Source organism: Homo sapiens, chromosome 3 (assembly GCF_000001405.40).
Source record: "Homo sapiens chromosome 3, GRCh38.p14 Primary Assembly".
Classification (NCBI taxonomy): Eukaryota; Metazoa; Chordata; class Mammalia; order Primates; family Hominidae; genus Homo; species Homo sapiens.
In genome coordinates, this window is record NC_000003.12 from 123,684,764 (window position 1) to 123,705,574 (window position 20,811).

At 51.6% G+C, this 20,811-nt stretch overlaps 1 protein-coding gene and 2 long non-coding RNA genes across 26 annotated transcripts in view; 2 read left to right on the forward strand and 1 right to left on the reverse strand.

Moving 5' to 3' along the window:
- Positions 1 to 20,811, reverse strand: part of MYLK (myosin light chain kinase) — a 274,284-nt gene that overhangs the window by 74,715 nt on the left and 178,758 nt on the right. For 17 of the 20 annotated variants that reach the window (XM_047448184.1, XM_024453532.2, NM_001321309.2 and 14 more), the window contains 3 exons: positions 16,675 to 16,746; positions 15,257 to 16,242; positions 7,972 to 8,088 (listed from right to left, as the gene is read on the reverse strand). In XM_047448184.1, the coding sequence (XP_047304140.1) occupies positions 7,972 to 8,088; positions 15,257 to 16,242; positions 16,675 to 16,746 (1,175 nt within the window). Of the gene's footprint in view, positions 1 to 7,519; positions 7,619 to 7,971; positions 8,089 to 15,256; positions 16,243 to 16,674; positions 16,747 to 20,811 lie in introns of those variants that run through there. The other 3 variants (XM_047448188.1, XM_017006470.3, XM_017006471.3) reach the window with 1 other exon arrangement.
- On the forward strand, positions 4,881 to 7,644 carry MYLK-AS2 (MYLK antisense RNA 2). Its single transcript, NR_046629.1, has 3 exons — positions 4,881 to 4,953; positions 6,814 to 7,071; positions 7,476 to 7,644. It is a non-coding gene; the product is annotated as an MYLK antisense RNA 2 (long non-coding RNA).
- The window catches only part of LOC105369194 (uncharacterized), a 23,585-nt gene continuing 10,826 nt past the window's right edge, over positions 8,053 to 20,811 (forward strand). For 2 of the 5 annotated variants that reach the window (XR_001740871.3, XR_924418.4), the window contains exons 1-2: positions 16,547 to 17,014; positions 19,103 to 19,246. This is a non-coding gene — a long non-coding RNA (uncharacterized LOC105369194). Of the gene's footprint in view, positions 8,160 to 16,546; positions 17,015 to 19,102; positions 19,247 to 20,811 lie in introns of those variants that run through there. The other 3 variants (XR_007096036.1, XR_924417.4, XR_007096037.1) reach the window with 3 other exon arrangements.

Genomic DNA, 20,811 nt, shown 5'->3' on the forward strand with positions numbered 1-20,811 from the left:
GGCCTCAGGTGATCTGCCTGCGTCAGCCTCCCAAAGTACTGGGATTACTGGCGTGAGCCACGGCACCCGGCCCTTCTTAAGGAAGAGGAGTACAGGGCAGACTATGTATGCAGTTCTGCACTCCTTGGCTTCAGCACTCATTCTCCTGGTGAGTCTTGGAGCATAGAGGAGGGAGAAGAAGAAGGATCAGGTTTGCTTTTTTAACTGATGAGTAAGCTGAGGCACAAGAAAGCAAAGTATGAGAGGCCCAGTTTTCCTGGGCTCCTGAAAGAAGGGCAGCAGGTACTGAGACTCCTTTCGTCCTCATGGGGTTGTGTTGGGCTTTACTTCCAAGCATCACCACAGTAGAGGCCAAGAGAGTACAGCTCTAGCTTTGGCTTTGTCATCAGCAACCTTGGGAACTTGGGCAAATAATTTAAACTGTCCCATCTCTGTTTCCACATCTGTACAAGGGAATCACTTATTTTCTCTACCTCATGGTGTTTTGACGCCCAAAGGAGAGAACACATGCAACGGTGTTTTGGAAAGCAGGAAATGATCATTTATCAGCCCAGCGTGGTGGCTCACGCCTGTAATCCCAGGACTTTGGGAGGCCAAGGCAGTTGGATCACTTGGACCCAGAAGTTCAAGACCAGCGTGGGCAACATGGTGAAACCCCGTCTCTACAAAATTTACAAAAATTAGCCAGGCACTGTGGCATGTGCTTGTAGTCCCAGCTGCTTTGGAGGCTGAGGTGGGAGGATCACCTGAGCCCACAGAGCTTGAGGCTGCAATGATCGTGCCGCTGCAGTGATCATGCCACTTAACTCCAGCATGGATGACAGAGTGAGACCCTGTCTCCAAAAAATGAAAAAAAAAAAAAAAAAAAGAAAATGAAAATGATCACTTATGAATTAATTCCTCTTGATAGCCACATTCCCTTACCTCCTTCTGAATCAGCTTTAAAATTTTCCACCTTCAGAAAACACTCCCTGCCCTGCCCCATCTGCCTCTGCCTCCGTCCTCGGCCCTAGGGTGCTGGGTTTTCACTGGACGTGTCAGTACACTACCCTGTAATGTGCTTTGAGTCTTATTTTTAGAAGTTTCTGCAGCACTTTATCTTTCCATCTGGCCATGAGGAAAGGGGCTGAAGTCCCCCTTTCAAACTAGGCACACCCCAGACTCGGAGCCCCAGGGGGTGGCCGCGCTCCACTTGAAGTGTCAGCACGGTGGGGCTGTGCATGCACCACGGGGCCCTGCCAGGGATGCGGAGCCAGCAGACCTCCATGCGAACTGCAGCAAGGAGTGGGCTCGAAGGGCCATGTGCCTAATCAAAACCAGCTTTGTGCTCACATGGCTGCCCAGGGGATAAAAATAATAGTAATATAAGTTTAAGAGCAGCTTGTATTTTCTATTTTAATCATTTTGTGATGAAATTAAACTCCATTTCTAGATCTAGGCCCCCAAGGCTGAAGTCCTTTGCTTGTGTCCCCAAAGAAGTGTGGGGGAGGAAGATGGAGGTGTGAGGAAGTGGGGGGCCTCTACATTGAGAGGAAAATGTGTCCTTATATAGACAATGCCTCACCCCTCCCACTCCTGGGCTCTGGACTCAAGCTCTCTGGGCAGCGTTTTTTTTTTTTTAATCTCCCCCAAGAGGCTGGTTCCCTGAACTCTGACCCCACGCAGGGGGCATGAGGTCTTGGGAAGCTTCTGGGAGGGGTCCAGCTTCTAGGGGCCCCCAGTGGGGCAGGGCAGAGGGGCTGGGCTCCAGCCTCTCCCTGGGTTGGCTCATCCCTCCTTGCTGGCCTCTCTCTCTGACTGAGTGCAAGCAGTGTGCTAGCGTAGTAAGGAAGAGAGATCAGGATGCTTGCGCTTTCTGGCTCTGCTGCTTAGGAGTTGTGAGTCCCTGGGCAAGTTCCTGAACTTTTCTGAGTCTGAGCTTCCTCACAAGGAAAACCGAAATAACATCACCTCAATAGAAGAGTGAGGGAGGTGTGGCCAAGTCGTAAGGTGATGGCTGACATTTACTGGGTATTGACTCCATGTATGCACGGTGCTAAGTACTTTGTATGCTCAGATCAGGTTGAACTACACCATTCGCCAGTATTGAAGTGTTTTTGACCTACAAAAACAGCAATTTTATTTAGTTTCACATAATACCCGTTAGTTGTCTGTGATGATTTAAAGAATAAATGTGGGCCAGGCGCGGTAGCTCACGCCTGTAATCCCAGCACTTTGGGAGGCTGAGGCGGGTGGATCACCTGAGGTCAGGAGTTTGAGACCAGACTGGCCAACATGGTGAAACCCCTTCTCTACTAAAAATACAAAAATTAGCTGGGCGTGTTGGCGGGTGCCTGTAACCTCAGCTACTTGGGAGGCTGAGGCAGCAGAATGGCTTGAATCCAGGAGACAGAGGTTGCAGTGAGCCGAGATCATGCCACTGCACTCCAGCCTGGGCAAAAAGAGTGAAACTCTGTCTCAAAATAAATAAATAAATAAATGTGGGGGTGGGAGCAGACTTAGTAATATGGCAGGGCTGAGGCCAAGAAAGGAGGGGTGGATCAAAATCAGCTCAGCAATAATCAGAAGTGCCCAGGGGCCAAGATAACAGTGGATCACAGTGGTTAGGCACCAAGGCTTGGGTTTAACTTCCCACTCTGCTAGTTAGGGTGACCTTGAGCAGGTGACTCAGTCTCTGTTTGCCTGAGATGAGGCTATTGTTACTATCACTCCCCTGAAGCCCTCTTGCAAGGTCACCAATGACCTCAATGTTGGCAAACCCAATAGCCAGTGCTCAGGCTCATCTTTATTTGGCAGCAGCACCTGACCCTTCCTTCCTTCCTTTCTTCCTTCCTTCCTTCCTTCCTACCTTCATTCCTTCCTTCCTTTCCTTCCTTCCCTCCTTCCTTCCTTCCCTTTCTTCCTTTTCTTCCTTTCTTCTTTTTTTTTGACAGGGTCTCCCTCTGTCCCACAGGCTGGAGTACCGTGGTACAATCTTGGCTCACTGTAGCCTCAACCTCCCATGCTCAAGCTGTCCTCCTGGCTCATCCTCCTGAGTAGCTGGGACTACAGGCATGCCCCACAGCATCCAGGCAACTTTTGTATTTTTTGTAGAGACAGGGTTTCACCATGTAGCCCAGGCTGATATTGAACTCCTGGCTCAAGCAATTCACCTGCTTCTCAAAGTGTTGGTATTACAGGTGTGAGCCACCACACCTGGCCTGGCACACTAATCTTGATCATTCCTTCCTTTTTGAAGTTCTTAGCATTTGGTTTCTGGGACACCCCCATCTCCTGGGTTTCTTCCCATCTCACTGGAGTACTTCCTTCTTAGTCTTCTTCGCAGGCCCCTGTCCTGCCCCTGCCTCTCTCTCTCTCCCTCTTCTTATAGCCACCTCTGTACTCTCCAGGGACCTCATTCAACCCCAGGGCAGTGAATGGCCTCTGTGTGTGGATGGCTCCCTGTATCCCACCTCCAACTCTGACCTCCCCCTCAACTCCAGGTTCACCTAAACACCTGCCTATGTGACAGGACCGCTTGAGAGGTCAAATAGCAATCTTAAACTTCACATGCACTAAACTCTTGATCGTGCCCCCCAGCCCCACCATTGGTCTTCACTCCCCCATGAAAACTGAGTCATCTTTAACTTCTCTCTCTCTCCATACCCAGCTCACCAGCAACTCATATCAGCTCTACAGCCAAAGAGGTTATGAATCTGATCACTTCCTGTCCCTATTGTGGCAACCCCCCATTGTGCTCCCTGCTTTCCCTCTGACTCATCCTGGGTCTGGTCATCACATGGACATGAGTGATCCTTCATAAATGTCCAGTGTTGGCCCATAACACTTAGAATAAAATCTCATTTTTTTTGTCCTAGCCAACACTGCCTGGATCTGGTCCACGGTCCTCCTCAACCTCACTTCCTACCATCCTGCCCCTTGCTCATGGCTCCACCACCCTGGCCTCCTGCCTCCTGAAACGCCTTAAGCACAGTGTCCTCAGCTCAGGGCTATGCTCTTGTTGTCACCTTGTCCCTCTTCCTTCCCTGCTTCCTTCAGTCTCTGTTCAAATGTTCCTTCCTCAGAGGGGCCTCAGTGACCACCCCCTCCAAAAATGGTATTCTCTCCCCCATTACCCTGCTTTGCTTTCTTCATAGCTGGTGACATTACCTGAGGATATGACACAGCTGTTCACCTGCATTACTGCCTCTTTCCCACTAGAAAAGTCCCAAAAGCTGGAACTTTTCCTACTTCATTTACTGTTTTAAAACCAGCTCCTATGGCAGTGCCTGGCACAGAGTGGGCACTCAGATATTAGTTGAATGACTGAGTGATGGCATGAGTACCCACTGGAGTGTCCCTTCCCATCACAATCATGCATGACCCTCTGTGGTCACAAAGCCCTGGTCTCACTGGTACCAAAAGCTGGATGCCCTGGCCAGGGTGGCTGGGGACAGGAGGCCTGAGTTGAGAATGACTGGATGAGCCAGTGAGGGGCTAAGGTGTTTTTTGAGTCCTCTCATGGGATTCTGGCCTAGGAAGGACTTAGTTTCCTCACTGCTCATCTGGGTTGGAATGAGAGGAAAGGGGTTACTGAGTCCCACGTGCAGAAGGACCTCCCCACAGGGAGGACTGTTACTCAGGGAGGTCTGGATCACTCTGGGAGCGGGCCCCACCATGGTAATTCACTGCCCGGGGAGGCTGTGTCAGGCTGTGGAAAGGAACAGGTTTCAGAGCCAGACCACTGAGTCCTGCCAGGATATTTCATGTTGTAATTCACTGTGCAGGGTGGAGCCCCAACACCAGATCTACACCTACTGTCTGTGGGGCCTGGAAGGCAGCTGACCCTTGGTGAGCCTCAGTTTGCTCACTGAGAAAGACACCCTGCCCAACTGTTGCATAGACTGAAAATGCAAAGTGCACAAGAGTCTCTGGCCAGGACAGGCATTGAAGGTCAGCTTGTTCTCCTCCTGGGTGAGTTTTCGGGCAAGTCCACGTTTACTCTAGGTTTTAGCTCCCTTCTATGTGGCACAAGTTAACCCTTGTCTTCTGCTGAGTTCAGAAGGAAGGGTGATATGACCATAATCAAGCAAGTTCATAAACACCCCTTTTCTTAGGAAAAAGACCCAAACACATGATTAAAATAGCCAGCTGTGCTGTGTTATAAAGGTTACATCCCTTATCTTTATGATATGAGGGAATCAGTAGTGTGGGTAATGCTATTTTAGCCCCATTTGCCTCATTTTTATGAGATTTTGAAAGATATGTTGGCCTCAGATGTATGGTCTCGATGGTGTTTGGCACAGGATGAGTGAATGATAGCGACTTTCAGGGGCCAGGCCAGCCCTGCTGAGTGGCTGGGGAAGCCAGTCTGAAGTCAGCACCAGCTGTAGTCCCATCGCCTAGTGGAGATGGACCTCATTGCCCCATAAGAGGGATGAAGGCCTGGTTCTATGCAGAGGTTGGGTGGGCAGTTGCAGCTGGAGACAGGCTGGAAGAGCCCACACAATGGCTGGGCTTGAAAATTCAGTCATTGTTGCTGCTTACGGCAAGTAGTTCTTCAACGTATTCTGATTCATGACTCCTTTTGAGAATTTGACTAAAAACTATGGACCCCTCTCTTCAGAAAGATGCTCCAACCCACATAATGCAACATTTTGCCTGTAATTTCAGGGGAGGCACAAACCCACTGGGATCCCCAAGTCAAGTATGATGCCTTGGGGAGTAGGGAGAGCTGAGGGGATGAGGGGACAGAATGAGGGCAGGAGATGTAGCCTAGCCAGTGGGGTGGAGCACCAGACGATAGAAAGGCGACAGGGGAGCTGTCAAAGTGACAACAGTCCTTTACTACTTTCCTAGAGAGGCTCTTGATGAAAAAATAAAGCTAAATGTGGGCAAACAGGATGCTAATATATCTGTAAGTATAGCAACAGGGAAAGAAAAGCAGGGGGAAGAGGCCACCCTTATCCTTTCTGTCAACAAAACCAAACCCAATGGACTGAGAGTCAGTCCTGTTATCTCAGCTGGGCTCCCTCCTATCACTTTTCTAGCTCTTCTTCCAAGACCCAGCTCCCAATTTGCAGCTGGAGGCCTAACTCTGCATTTGAAGGAATTAGGGATAAATAATGATGGTCATCAAGATTAGTGGAGAGGACAAGGGAATCTGCCAGCAGACTCTGGGCAAACAAAGCCTTTTAAGTTGCAGAATGAATTCCCCAAACCTTAAAAAAAAAATCCCCAAGTGTATTCAGTAGGGGAAAAGGAAATTTCATCTTGAAAACAAATCTAGAAAAGGTGCTGACATTTTACAGATAGGGAGAATGAATTGCTCTCCTGCCTTCAGCTAGCCATGTAAACAGGACCTAAAGAGGCTCCGAAAGCCGATAACCTCCTTCACTAGCTCGGGAACCAGTGTGAGTCCCAAACGAGCAGAGGGGTGTTAGACGTGGGCTTCAAGGATCATGTTTTCAGAAACGCTATACTTTACAGTGCAGCACCTGTATAGAAAGAAGCAGGACTGTGATCTGGGTGGGTGACAGCCTGGGTGAGGAGAGACTCCCACACAGGAGTCATCAGCCACAGCATCCACTGTGCAGAACCTCAAAATGTGTCCCATGCCCCCTCTGAATTGAGCATAAACTTGGACACATCAAGTCCGCTTCCTTAGACTCAGAGCCCCTATAGCACATATACGCACGATCTCCAAGGAGAAGTACACAGTATTAGATGAGTTCAGCTTACCTTTCGGCTATTAACAATTAATTCGTGCTGCCATTGTGTTTTTATAAAAAAGACTTTCTTTTCCACCTCTCTCCCATTCATCATGTTCCATAGAGCTCAGCTCTGTGATCAGGAAACCAATTGTAAAGTCCAGAATGAGGACACGGGCTCTACATGGTGTGGAATGGCAGTGAGACGGGCTAGGACTTCAGAACTCAACTGATCACACACAGGAGGGAGAAGAACAACCAAGCTGGGCTTCAAGATGCCTTATTTGGACACTAGTTTTTGATGTGTCTCTGATGGTTATTAACCAGACATTTCAAGGGCAAGAAACTATTTCCCCAAAACTACCTTTTGAGACATTTCCAGGTAAGTGCCAAATACAAAGAAATGATCCTGGGTTGTGAGTCCTGGGATGGGGTTCTGGCCCCAGCTTGGCCCTAAATGGGCCAGAGAGCCCCCCTCCAAAATGCATTTCCTCTCTGGATGCCCTCAGTTTCTTATCTGTAAAATGAGGGTGTTCATCTAAATCATCACGAGGTTCATCCTACTTCTCAGGTTCCAATTCTATACTCCCCAGGAAGGAGAGAAAAAAGAGTCATGAATGCACTTCCTGCATTTCCTTAGGACAAAGCCCAGTTCCTCGCAGCTTGGCACTGCCTCTTCCTAACACAGAAACTCCGCTAAGACCTGGCAGGCCTGCTTTCTCCCCGATGTGTCCTCCCACCTCCCTCTGCAGTATTATTATTACTACTACCATTTTGTTTTGGCAGAGGCTGCCCTGTCCTCTCTGTCCAGAGACTCAGCCCCGACTCACCTCCTCTAGGAAGTCTCCCACACGGACCTCGCTCTGCTCCCTCCTCCTCACGGCTGACCCTGCTGGGTCGTCCTGCCAGCTCGGACACTTGTTTGTTGTGGCTTTTGTAAAATACTCTGTAGTCATTTTCCTGTGGGTGTGTCTTTTCTACTGCCCAGTGCCCCAGCTTCCCAGCTCAGAAGGTTCTGGGTGTGGGGATCAGGACTGGGAGGGGGACAGGACAGCCAGGGGAGGGGTGAAGCCATGTAGGTGATCAAGTAGAGCTGCCACTTTCCTTCCTGTCTCTTTTTCTTTTGGCAAAAGATATTCATTCATCCAAAATGAATGCCTTTGGGTAGGGAGGGCAGTGTTGGAGGCAGTTCTGTCTGACAGGCAAGGTATGGTAAGGAAGGGAGGGGCTGAGAAATGGGACCCCTGTGTATGGGTGGCGGCGATGGGTGGGCACGACCTACCATCCACGGTGACTTGGCAGGAGCACTCCGCCTGGCCAGCGTCATTCTTGGCTACACACTTGTATAAGCCTCTGTCCTCAGGCAGTGCCTTCTCGATGGAGACGGAGCAGAGTGAGCCTGGGGAGGAAGAATTGTGGAGTGAACCAGGTGTGGTCGTAGTACCTGCCCTGGCATCTGGAGCGCAGCAGGTGAGTGTTACTCGCACGGGCAGCCTCTGGGAGCCCAGAAGCCAGAGGCCTTGTGGGAACCAATCCCCCACTCCTCACCAAAGCCAGGGAACTTTCTGCTTATAACCCATGTCCAAAATAACTGATCCCTAAATACGTTCCTTCCTGATACCTCCTCCCCCACTCCAAAGAGTCCTCTTGTGGGGACATAATAGAAAGCTGCAAAAGAAGGGAGAGAAATAGCCTCTGCCTTTGGAGACCATCCAATACAATACAAGGAGATGCACACAGGCCCTGCCCCCTGGACGTCACCAAGAGAGAAAAGGAGTCCGACACAGGGTTACAGACCTGTGTTAGGAACAGTGACAGGTGAGGAGGTCCCACTTTGTTTACAGCAGTGATGCTGTGACTGCATTCTGGAAAAGGGAGCTTTGAAGCTTTGAGCAAAGAAGTGGGTGGAGGAGGCTAGGAGCCCTTGTCCAGGAGGGGCACCGGCCTGTGGGAAGATCTGTTGGGAGGTGGTGACTACACCCAGGAGCTGACTTTTTAGGAAAGGTGTCTGAGCTGGAGAACCACGGCCAATGAGGGGGACTGGACCTGCAGAGGGGCCCTCTGGGGCTGCCTCCCTTCGGAGTTGGGTCTTCTGGTTGCCCCAGAGAGAAGTGGGGATGGCCTTTCTTCTCCATGGACTCTCCCCTGGGCCTGCCTTCACTCCCAGCACCATCTTCTGGCCTGGTTTGGGGAAGGAGGTGTCAGCTAGGCACACACAGGAATCTAGGGTCTCGTCCTGGCCCCTGCCAGCTCTCTCATCCCAGAACTGGTTACTTCTCCTCTGGGCCACCCCTTGGGGAGGTTCCCTCAGGGTGTGGAAAGAGGCCTGCTGGGCCAGGCAGAAGGGCAGCAGTTCCTTATTCTTGCTTTCAGATGCACAAACAAGTAAATAGCAGGGCATCCTGCTCAAAGCTGCCCCTGTTGTCAGGGAAGCAACCGTCACACAGGAGGACAGAGCCAGGGCCACATGCACTTTGCTGCCTGGAGCTCCCATCTCATGTCCCACAAGCCACTGGCATTGGGAGGGAAGAGCTGGGTGCATTCTGAGTGGACACCAACTACTGTCCCTGCCCCCCATTACACAAATGCACAGCCTTGACCAGCAAATACAAGGAGATTAGAAAGAGTAAGGATATCAGTTCTGCCCAGAAAACCTCACTAAGGCTGGAAGAGGAAGGAAGGGTGTAATATTCCCCTTTACTCCTTGCCACCAGGGTACTGTTTTAAACAGAGAAACCTTCATCCTATAAACCACCTGGGGCAAGAGGGCTGATCTGCACCCCACTCCCCACTTCCTATACCCTTATACAGACCCCAAACCTCGGGAAGGCTTCACTCTGTTCTCTTCCCTTTGTAGTTAGGAGTCAGAATTTGTAGAAACTGTAATGGAGAGGATTTAGGCTGGAATTTTAGGAAGTCTGTCATAAGAGTAAGAATCGTGAGGCACAGGAGTGGGGAATGAGGATAACCATGTCCTGGAGAGAGAACTTTCCATTCATCTGGGTGGGCGGGAGGATGCCAAGATGACCTCTGGCCCCAACTAGAGGGGCTCAGAGGCTTAGCAGAGACCAATCCCATCTGGAAATTTTCCCTCAAGTCAGGGTGGGGCTAAGGCTTTGGGAACAGATATCCCACCCCCAACGCACATCCTGTTCAAATCCTTGATTTTCTTTCAGTTTCAGTCCCTCAGCTGCCTTGAGTCTTAAGTCAAAATGATACAAGCTGCAAAGACAGTACACAGAGAGTAGAGGGGCATGTGGACCCGGCCCCTGCCTCCTCTCCCAGGGCAAGGCATGGGGCAGGCAGCTTTTCCAACCTGCCCAGAGCCTGGACCCCTGGCCATGTGCATGGGCTTGGGGAGGCCCCCCTAGCAGGCTTGCAGGCTTGGCTACCCCAGATGAAGAATCTGGTATTTCCTGTGGGACAGTTCATTCTTGACCTCTAGAAGAAAAGCTGTTTCCCAGAGGTTTTTTTTTGAGAAGCCTCAGCCTGGTGGGGAATTCTGAGAGGGAGATGAGGGGGATGGGAGAGGTCAGCATCACTGCAGAGCTCCGCCTGGGAGAGCCCCTCAGGGCTGTGGTGGAGTAAGCGCTCCTGGGTCTGAAGCTCCCCCAGCTCTCTCCTTTTCTGAGTTGGGGGCAGAGGGGAGGAAGGGGATGTGGATGGAGGGAGGGAGCTTCCTGGAGGCTCTGCTATAGGGCTGCCTCAGTCAGCCTACCCAGCCCACCTGGCAAGCCCAGACAGTAAGACTCATCTCCAGGTCACCCCTGCAGGCATGGTGTCCTCCTTGTTCCCCCTAATCCCCCAGGCCTAGGCGGACCTCTTCTGTGCTCCCAACTCTGAGCTCACCCATGTCAAAGCACGGCTCACAAGGCCATTGCTGACCTGCATGCCTGTCTCCCACACCAGCTCTCAGAGGGCAGTGACCCTGTCTAACACCACTGTTTTTCCTAAGCCTGGAATGCAGTCACAGTAAAACATATTTGTCATTCTGAGAAGGATGAAGGCATATTTCTGTAGCAGGTGATCTGGTAGGATCTATGTAAGAAAAGGTCACAAACAGTTAAATATAACTTACTATTGAAAAAGATAATATATAGTTTCTGAAAAAAGAAAATTCAGAGTTCTTTGAGTGGATTATGCACACAACAAAGGGCATTAGAATAATGCCTTGCTCATAGTAGATGCTGCATAAATCCATTTTTCGTAGGATGAACTTACATGGGTTTTTAAAAAGCCTTTGCAAAATTCTACCCTGAAGGCAATTAAAAATGAATTACCTATTCACAACAGCAACAAAAATGAATCCTCATTGTTAGACTCGGAAAAGTGTTTTGCCAGGAGGAGGAGCCTGGCCTGGAGACAGGAAACAAAGCATAAAGATAAAGCTCTTCTCAGGCCACCACAGAGCTCCCCTCAGCTCACGGGACCATCGGCCTCCCACCACCCCTCAGCAGAGGCAGGTCCCGGAAGGGCTAGGAAAAGACTTGGGGGCAGAGGGCAGGCCCAGTTGGTGGTAACTCTGAATCCCATCAGCCCTGCAGCTCTAGGGGTACAGGAAGAGGAAGGACACCTCCACGTGTCTGTGTCCTGCCACAAATCAACTAGTGGTGAACTCTAGCCCATGGCTGTCAAACCTCTTCTGCTTTCCTCAGCACGAAAGGGGGTGAACTAAATGGGGTGATGTAATCCTGTTTGGGTGGGGGTCTGTGGGCTATGAGCCCTATCTAAGCTACAGACATCAGAGAAGTCCCCTGAAACCTATAAACAGCACGTCCACTAGCAGTTGGTGCACGCAGATACACAGGTTGATGGGGAGGGGACAGTGCAAGAGTCTCTCGTGGCCAAAGGTGGGTGACAACAGGAAGGCATCCTGGAGGAAGTGAATCTTGTTTGTAGCAGAGCTGACAGGGTGGGGATCAGTGCAGTGGAGCAAAAAGGGCTCCAAGTCAGGAAGCCGGGGGCAGGGCCAGTGCTGAGCTGAGTGTGAAGGATGCAGGACGGGAGGCCAGCGGAGCCATTCCCTCACCTTCCCCTAGAAGCCTCCTCCAACCACCGGCTTCCTTATTCCCACTGACACGACCACTGAGACCCCAGCCACTCAGGCACCCACACTTAGTGGTCTTCCATTCCTTCATCTTCTTTACCTACCCCCACCCCCATCCTGCCCTTCCAAGCCAGGCAACAGGTGCCATTACTTCTATCCTTGCTTCTTGAACTGGTCATTCCCTGACTGTGGTTGTGGCTACTACGCTAGTCTAGGCCTCACCATCTTCCTCTCGACCTCTTCAGTAGGCTCTGTATTTGTCTTTTGGGCACAGAGTCCACCAAAACCCCTAAACTGAGCTTCATGTACAGTGTTCTTCATCCCAAAATCTTGCATGATTCCCTACTGCCTTTAGACTGGAATTCCTTGGCAGAATATAGGATGAAACTGGGGCCATGTCATCCTCTCCAGCCCAGAACAAGCTGTTAGCAGGACGCCTCTGCTGCTGCGGGGCCCCCGCCTGGAAGCCCGTCCCCTCTGGCCTGTCTTCGGGGCTTAGATCAAAGTCCAGCACTCAGCTCCCTCTCTTCCCACTTCCAGCAGCTCCTCCCGACACACTCATAGCACTTGTCAGCACTTGGCTGTAACAATTTTATCACTGTGAGTGTGTCTTCTCCTTCCACATCTATTGAGAAAAGACTCCCTCCACCTCTCAGAATGCCCTACTGCCTGAGGAGGGACCTGCTTAAATGGTGACTGATAGATGAAGCCTTAAGATAAGTTTTTTCCTTAACAAAACACTGGGCTCTTGAAGTCTTGGCGAGTGAAGGGACAGAAGGTGGGGCCGATTTTTTGAGACAACGCACTCTCCTGTACTGAAGCAAGACAGGCCCATTGCAAGGTCTGCTTCCACCACTGCAGGGAAAATACCAGAAACCTGGCAAGGCTAGGGGCACCATCAGTGTTTCAACCTTTGGACAACTCTTAACAAAATCGAGGAGTAAATAGTCATTAGTGTTTTCTGTTGATAGACAAATTCTCAGCTGCCACCAGTACCCTGATAAAATAATAGGAATTAACTAAGAGGTCATATAGCACGGTGGTCTAGGCACGGGAACTCAGCCACCTGAGTTCAAATCCCAGCTCTGTTACCCCCAGCACCTTGCATTTGGCAAGGTACTTAACTTCTCTGTTAGGTGGACAGTACAGTCATTGTTGGGAGGATTAAATGGGTGAAAAGTGTAAGAGGCCTAAGATAGTGTCTAACACATAGTGTTCAACATATGTCAGCTATTCTTTAAACACAATTTAAAAATATTTAGAAGATGTCTTACAGTTTGATTTGGGGCTCTCTCTGGAATCCCTTTCCACCTCTCCTGGTCTCTCTCTCCCCTTCGTGTGCAGCCTTCCTTGGATCATTTCTTCTGCTGCTGCTCTGGATCTGAACTGTTCCCTCTGGGACGGTTTCCATGGGAAGGGAGGCTGGAGTGGCTAGGATCTCTAGGCTCTTTACCACTAAGGGACCAGCAGGGAAAACATACTGCAGGCACTCAGGGCACGAGAAGACAGTGGCTAATGGCTCAGAAGAGTTTCTGAGACCAGGCCTGGGGTCTGCCTTACATCGCTTAGTTGAGTGAATTGTTTGTAAGTGGCTGTTGATGGCTCTGGGTTTAAACCCCATGCAAGCCCAAGAACAGCTGCCCCCAACTGACTTAACCTCAGTTTCCCTGAGGCTGGAGCAGCCACAGACCTCCCAACGCCAAACCTGCTGAGACCCTGAAGCCCATGGGCAGCGCCAAGCCTGATGAGAACCTGAAATCCACTAGCAAAGAAGAACTCAAGAAAGATATTAAGAATGATGCGAACTGCAAGAGAGGCCATGCAGGGACCACAGATAATGAAAAGAGATCAGAGAGCCAGGGGACAGCCCCAACCTTGTCCTGAGGATGGTGGATGCCACCCTGCATCCTGCCTGGAGAGATCACCGTAGGGTGACCTGGGAAATGTTCCCAGTCAGGGTTTCCAATCAGTTTTACCAAGGACTTTCCAAGTGGGAGAGCCCCACAGGGGCGGCAGGACAGGTTGTGGCGTCTGCTCCTCTGAAGTCTCACCCCAGCCCAATAATCCCCCATGCCTCAGGGGAGGGGGGCTGAGCCAGCAGAGGTGGGGGATGGAGGAGACGACTTCTGGAGGACCCTGCCAATCTGAGGACATCCACATGGAAAAGTTACTGCGTCAACACATTAGCAGAAAATAACATGTTTCTCTCTGCCAGCCAGTGTCCCCTTCACTCTTTCAGCGCTGAGATTCAATATACTCAGCTGCTCCAGGTGTGCTGTCCCAGATGTAGAGGGAAGACAGACCCTTACCGGGGGCTGAGAGGGATTCTGTGATCTTCAAATGCTCCATTCTGCTTGTGAGGGGAAGGCAGGCACGATAAAAGGTGAGGGAGGGAGTGGGGAGGGTGCTGCCAGGGGCCAGGGAGGGGAGCAGCCCACAGGAAGAGCACTCTGACACCTCAGCTGACTCAGATTTGACAGGACCTGTCCACTCCGGCTTCTTCTGTGGCTGCCCTCTGCCCCTCAAGGGTGAAATGTCACTTCCTGGGAGCTTCTTTGTACCCTACCCTGTCTGGAGCCACCAGCATCAGCTCAGGCAGGACTCTGTTCTGTGCTGGCAACCTATCCCTCCGCTGGCTGCCAGAATGGGGTGTGGAGGTCGGCCGGCCTCAGAGCTCCCACCCAGACTTGGGATTTACAAAAGCACTTCAAACCAAATTGAGGGTCCAGAGAAAATACTCCTGTGTCACCCCCATCTCTTCTCCAAGTATAAACTGGCTCCTCTGAAAACTCCAGACCCCAAAAGTCCACACAGATGGAAGGATTTGGGGCCCCCCTCCTCTCCCCACCATCCAAGAATGTGAAATACCAGCAAACAAAAGTCTCATCCAAATTAGGAAGCGAGTAGCTCTGTCTGCCCGTGAGTGTGTGCTGTAGGGGCTGTTTTGGGATTTTGGGTTTCCCGACAGATCCCTTCAAACCCACAGTGCTATCAAGACTGAAGTTATTGTTGACCCCAACTCAGAGCTCCGTGCCATCTGGTCACTGCACACCGTTCCCCAAACCTAAGATGCTTCTCTAAACAGCTCTTTACTCAGAGCTTCTCCCTGGCTCCAGCCTCTGTGTCCCCCACCTCCAAGCCTGTAGACAGAGCCCTCTCCATGCCGGAGCTTGGAATTAACTCAGGCTCAGGTCTCCTCTGGGGAGCCACAGGTGGCGGTGCCATGAGAGGGCTCTGCCAGATGGGTGCCGAGATGTGGGCATGTGCCACAAGGACCAGGATCCCAGCCCTTAGCCCCAGCCTTGGTGCATGTACCCAAGGCCCCTGAGCCGGGACCTATCCTTGAGTTAGCAGGAAACAGGGACGCGGCCCTCCTACCCAGCAGGCCCTCCTACCTGCTAAACCAGGTTAGCAGCCTACCTATGGGCTGCTAACAGGGGTCAGCGAGACCAACGCTCCATGAGCTAGGAGTGGCCCTGGTACAGAGGCCCCTTCTTCCCCAACCCCCATGCTCATTTACCTTCCTGGGAGAGGATGATGAACTTGGTGGTCTTGAGGGTCTTTCCGTTCAGCGTCCAGATGATGGTGGCTGGGGGGTCAGAAGACACCTGGCACTGGAGCAGCAGCTTCTTGCCCTCTGCCACATGAACATCTTGCAGCTTCTGCTTGAAGGCTGGGGCTGTCCCCTGGCTCTCTGATCTCTTTTCATTATCTGTGGTCCCTGCATGGCCTCTCTTGCAGTTCACATCATTCTTAACGTCTTTCTTGAGTTCTTCTTTGCTAGCGGATTTCAGGTTCTCATCAGGCTTGGCATTGCCCATGGGCTTCAGGGTCTCGGCAGGCTTGGCGTTGCCCATTGGCTTCAGGGTCTCAGCAGGCTTGGCGTTGCCCACGGGTTTCAAGGGCCCTGAAGGCTGTGCATTGCTCAGGGGCTTGGAACTCTCCACTGCCTTGGCATTCAGGGTCTCGGCACTGCTGCTGCCATTCTCTGCTGGTAATTTCTTCTTGCCACCCAGCACTGAGCGAAAATCCGGGGTGGCAGGTTTTGGCGGTGGCACCTTCTCAGGCACGGGGGTCTTGGAAGTCCCCTTCTTGGCCAGGACAGAGCGAAAATCGACCTGCTGGGGGCTGTGCACCTTCCTCTCTTCCTCAGACACAGTCTTTGGCTTCACTTGCCGCTGCAGGTTGGCACGGAAATCCATCTGCTCGGCTGGGATCTCCTTCAGGTCGTCTTCCGATAGGGTCTTTGTACTCACCTTCTTCCCCAGGAGGTCTCGGAAGTCCAGCTGCTCCACCTCCTGCTGGCGGATCGCCTCCTCAGTGTGCTGCCTCGTCTCCACGCGCCTCTTCAGCACCCCTCGCACGTCCTCGCCGTCTTCCTCCTCTAGCCAACCCTGCCCTCTTGCTGGCCAGCCAGGCCTCAGGGACCCATAGCGGTCACTACCACCACCATCAGCACCAACTCCTCCACCACAGAGGTCCTCGCAGCTGGCAGGCTCCCTCCCCCTGCAACCAGTGTAGGGAAAAAGGAAAGTAGCAGGAGGAAAAGGGGCTGGGTAAGAAAGAAACTTCAGGGGAGAGCAAATCCCTGAGGGTGGGAGGGTAGAGGGGAGCGGGAGGGGATGGGGGAGGCCGGCCAGGCTGTGTTTATAGATGGGAACATTGGTGAGAGGCGCTCGCTTGCTTAGTTGGTTTATTACATCGGTAATGACTTCAGTAGCCTTATAAGGGTGTGTGCAAAAAAAAAAAAAAAAAAAATCACCCCCTCCTTCCCCTGCTCTCCCTCCCTCATTCCCCTTCCAGGCTCTCCCTTCTGGCTTTGGCAGCCTCAGCTGCAGGACACAAACAATCTAGGGCTGCTGGGCTGGAGCTGCCGGGGCCAGGAGGAAGGTGGGGATGGGGGCATGGCCTGGAGGGGCAGCTCCTGGGGGCACTCACCGTGGAAGGGCTCTGGCAGAGCTGTTCTGTAGCATCAGTGACACCTGGCAACTGCATTCGCCAACCCGGTTCCTGAAGAATTCCAAAGATCAATAAAGATCAAGAGGCCCTCTGGGCAAAGGGCCTGTTCAGTGTGGACTTGATCACAGGCTGCTGGCCAGCGGGGAAGATGGAAGTCGCCGGCTTGACTGAGACATTCACCCCAGCCTTAGATTTAGGGCAGGACCCTCTCACTGTGTGGTCACCCTTTATTTTCTCAGCTCTTATTTAAAAAGAAGAAGAAAAAAAGAATGTCTGGACAACAGCTAAGGCAGGCATCCAGAAATAGGAACACTTTTCTGTAAGTATATAATATAATCATTCAATCAATCACTCACTCACTCAACCAATAAAAGGGGAAGGAGAAAGGCTAACCCTGCTGGGAACTGTGATGTAGCAGGTTGGTCTAGACAGATAGGCCCTGGTGGTGGGCCTGCCCAGTGACCTTGACTCTGACTCCATGATCCCTTAACACAGAAGTAGTTCCTTTCCCTCTCTTGCTCGGGAATGGAAGCACCCTTAACCCCCACTCATTGATAATGCTCTCAGATCAGAACTTTTTGTGTTAAAAACCCAACAAGTGTTTTCCTACATGAGTGGCCCTTTCTCTTCTTCCTTCAGGTGGGGAGGGCTCTGGATTCTTCATGTCCATAAACCTGGTCAGTCTCCTGCTGGTGCACAGAGGCTCAGGCCCTCTGCTCAGGGGAGGGGCTGTACCCTGTCTGGCTACAGTGCAGTGGATTTGCAGCAGATTGTCCCTCCAACCCCATAAGGCTGCCACCTGCTGGCATTTCTGAGCTCTGACCAGACAAGAAGGTTCTGCTCAGGCTAGGGGAAGGGGTGGGGGCAGGTCTGCGAGCCAGAGGTGACTAGTGATGGTTGTAACAACTGCATTTCATACAGCACCCTCCAGCTTTCATGACACCCACACGCAGTTCTTTCTTGATATCCACAGCATGCCAGAGAGGTATAGAGTACTGCCATGCCCAATTTAAAGATAAGGAAAGGGGGCTCTGGGGTGGGACCCTCAGGGTCTCTGACAACAGTGCTCCCACTCATGCCCCTGGATGTGGCCGTCTCACTAGCACTCAGACCCAATAGCAGATGTGCCAAGCTCTGTGACAGATTCTTTACATGAGCCATCTCATTTAATCTTAGAACAGCTCTGTGAGATTAGAGTCACCACTGTTTTTATAAGGTAAGAAATATGAGGCTTATAAAGGTAAAGTAGTCCAGGCGCAGTGGTTCATGCCTGTAATCCCAGCACTTTGGGAGGCTGAAGTGGGAGGATTGCTTGAGCTCGCACGTTTGACACCAGCTTGGGCAACATAGCAAGACCTTACCTCTATTAAAAAATATAATACTGAAGGTCAAGGTTAAGTAATTTGCCTAAACACACAGAGCTTGCTAGTGGAGGGAGGGGTTGGGACCTGTGACCCTATGACCTTTGCACTCTACCCTACTGTGCTTATCAGTACAAATCTGGTCTGGGACATGTGTGTGTTCATGCACATATGTAGTTATCAACCATACACATGATGTACACATATACTGGTCTAGCTGGCAGGCACCTGCACCTGGAGGTCTGTGTTTGGGAATATGTGCACATATGAGTTACATCCACCTGGACAGGCATCTGAGCATGCGTTCTTGTGTATTCTGCTGGCGTGTGTGGGTCTCCACCTCACTCTGCCTGGCCTCCCTCCCAGTGGACAGACACTGGTAGCCCATGGCCTGGCCCAGGATTCTCAGGGGCTCTGGGGCGCTGCTCACCCTTGGGTGCTGGCACCCATTTGAAGCAAGGAGAAGCCAATCGTTGCTGTCCTCCAGCCCTCCTCCCGCCTGCTGGGCTCCTCTCCTTTGTCCTTCTCTCCAGTGCCCTCGTGCTGTCCCAGGCTGTGCTGGTGCAGGTGCCTTCCTGACTGCCTTAGCTCTTTCACTCCTCTCTCCTCCCTGGCCATGTATCCCATAGCCTGTCCCCTCCCAGCCACCCTCCTCAATGCTCAGACTGTCAGAGGGCACAGATTCAAGGTGCAGGGAGTCTCAAGTCTGGAGAATTTTGAGTTCAGGTTGTTCCTTTGCTCAACAAACAGCAATTAGAAACCTCATGGGTGCCAGGCCCTGGGAGAACGAAGAGGTCCTCAGTGTGCCCCGAGTTCTCAACACTTAAAAAGGCTTATGGACTTTGGGTGAGCTTGTAGAATAACTGTGTGAGGTCACCCTGCTTCTGCCAGGCTGCTGGCCAGTGTCAGGCCACTCTTTTCCTACCTTTAAGCACAGCCTTGTGGTGCCTGGGTTGACATGGAGCAGGAAGATGAGATGCCCAAGGGCTGTGTTTGCCTGGCAGCCCTTTCAGCATCTCCTCAGCAGAGTTTCCTCCTGTCACCAGTAGAACACAGCCCAGATGCAAACATCAGGAGCAGACACTGCCCAGATGGCGGCTTTACCCCAGCTGGACTCCTCTGAGGCTTTGGTGGTGGACAGCCCTGTGCCGCAAGCTGGAGTAAGCCGATTCTCCCCATGGGGGAAGCAGGTAAGGGCTTCTGTCACTTTCCATGACCTGTGCTCAAGGTGGGGAGCACAGACTCAGACAAGCCTCTCAAGGGCTCCTGTCCAATCCAGCCCCAGGCCTTACCCTGTGGCCCCCAGCAGTCTAAGGGGTCAGAGAAAGGTGGAGGACTTGGGATACAAAGGCTGACGCATTAAGTGGATCACCTGGTGGCAGGGCAATAGCAGTAACTATTCCTACAGCCATACCCTTAAATCTCTGCTGGGCCTTTAAAGCAAACCATGGGTTCATTTGCAGCCTATAAAGTTCATAGTGGCCTCCTGCCTGGGACCCACATGTCAGATCACCTAAGCTGCTGGAACAGGGTCTTGGGGCCATCTTTGACATCTGCACATAACCAGTTACAAAATCAGGGCCGGGGCTGAAGATGAGGCCCCATCCCAGGAGCTGCCACAGAGCATATGGGGCTATCATCCTATAAACTGAACCTTTCACAAAGAGTCCTTTTGCCTTGGCTTACTAAGCTCTGAATAAGAGTTCCACTCTGGTTACAAAGCCTTGGATCCTGTCCCACCCTGAATCATCTACCTCTTGGATGGGTTCTATATGGAAAAATTACTTTAAAGAACTAATTTCGGCCGGGCATGGTGGCTCACACCTGTAATCCCAGCACTTTGGGAGGCTGAGGTGGGCGAATCATGAGGTCAGGAGATTGAGACCATCCTGGCTAACACAGTGAAACCCCGTCTCTACTAAAAATACAAAAAAAAAAAAAAAAAAAAAAATTAGCCGGGCGTGGTGGTAGGCACCTGTAGTCCCAGCTACTCAGGAGGCTGAGGCAGGAGAATGGCGTGAACCCGGGAGGTGGAGCTTGCAGTGAGCCAAGATCGTGCCACTGCACTCCAGCCTGGGCGACAGAGTGAGATTCTGTCAAAAAATAAAAAATAAATAAAAAAGAACTAATTTCCTGGCAAGTGTCAAGTGTTTCAAGTATTCCAGCTGGAATTTTGAGCTGACTTTTTGTCATTTCCCCTTTTGGTACAGTAGACAAGAGCTAGGAAGGGAAGAGAGGCAGAAACTACCCACCCATACCTGCCTCACAATCCTAGCAGGGACAGGCAGGATCTGCCCACCCCTCTACCCCCTGCACACCGGACCCCCGGCTTCCTCCCAGCCATCCAGTCATTCCCCTCGAAAGGCACCCTGCTCTACGTCTAGGTTGCTGGAGGAGTGAGGTCTCTGGCAGGCCTGCCACGTACCCTCAGGAAACTCTCCACTGACTTGCTTCTTCTCAGGTGGGGAAAAAGCCAAGGCCAGGGCAGTGGCCTCCGAAAGGAATGAAGAGGCTGGACTTTGGGGAAGAAAAAGAGGCAAAGGCTGCAGGCTGGAGGCTCCAGTGTGGTTTCCCAGGTCCTTCCAGTTCCCTGTGCACTTGGGAGAAACTCCCCAAGCAGAGCCATAAGGAATGGAAGAGCATCTGATTTAAGTCAAAAGATGAGGGCTTGAACTTGGGCTCTGTTACTTGCCTTTGGATGGCCACAAGCAAGTCCACGACCCTGAGACCTCAGTGTCCCCCGTTATTAAATGAC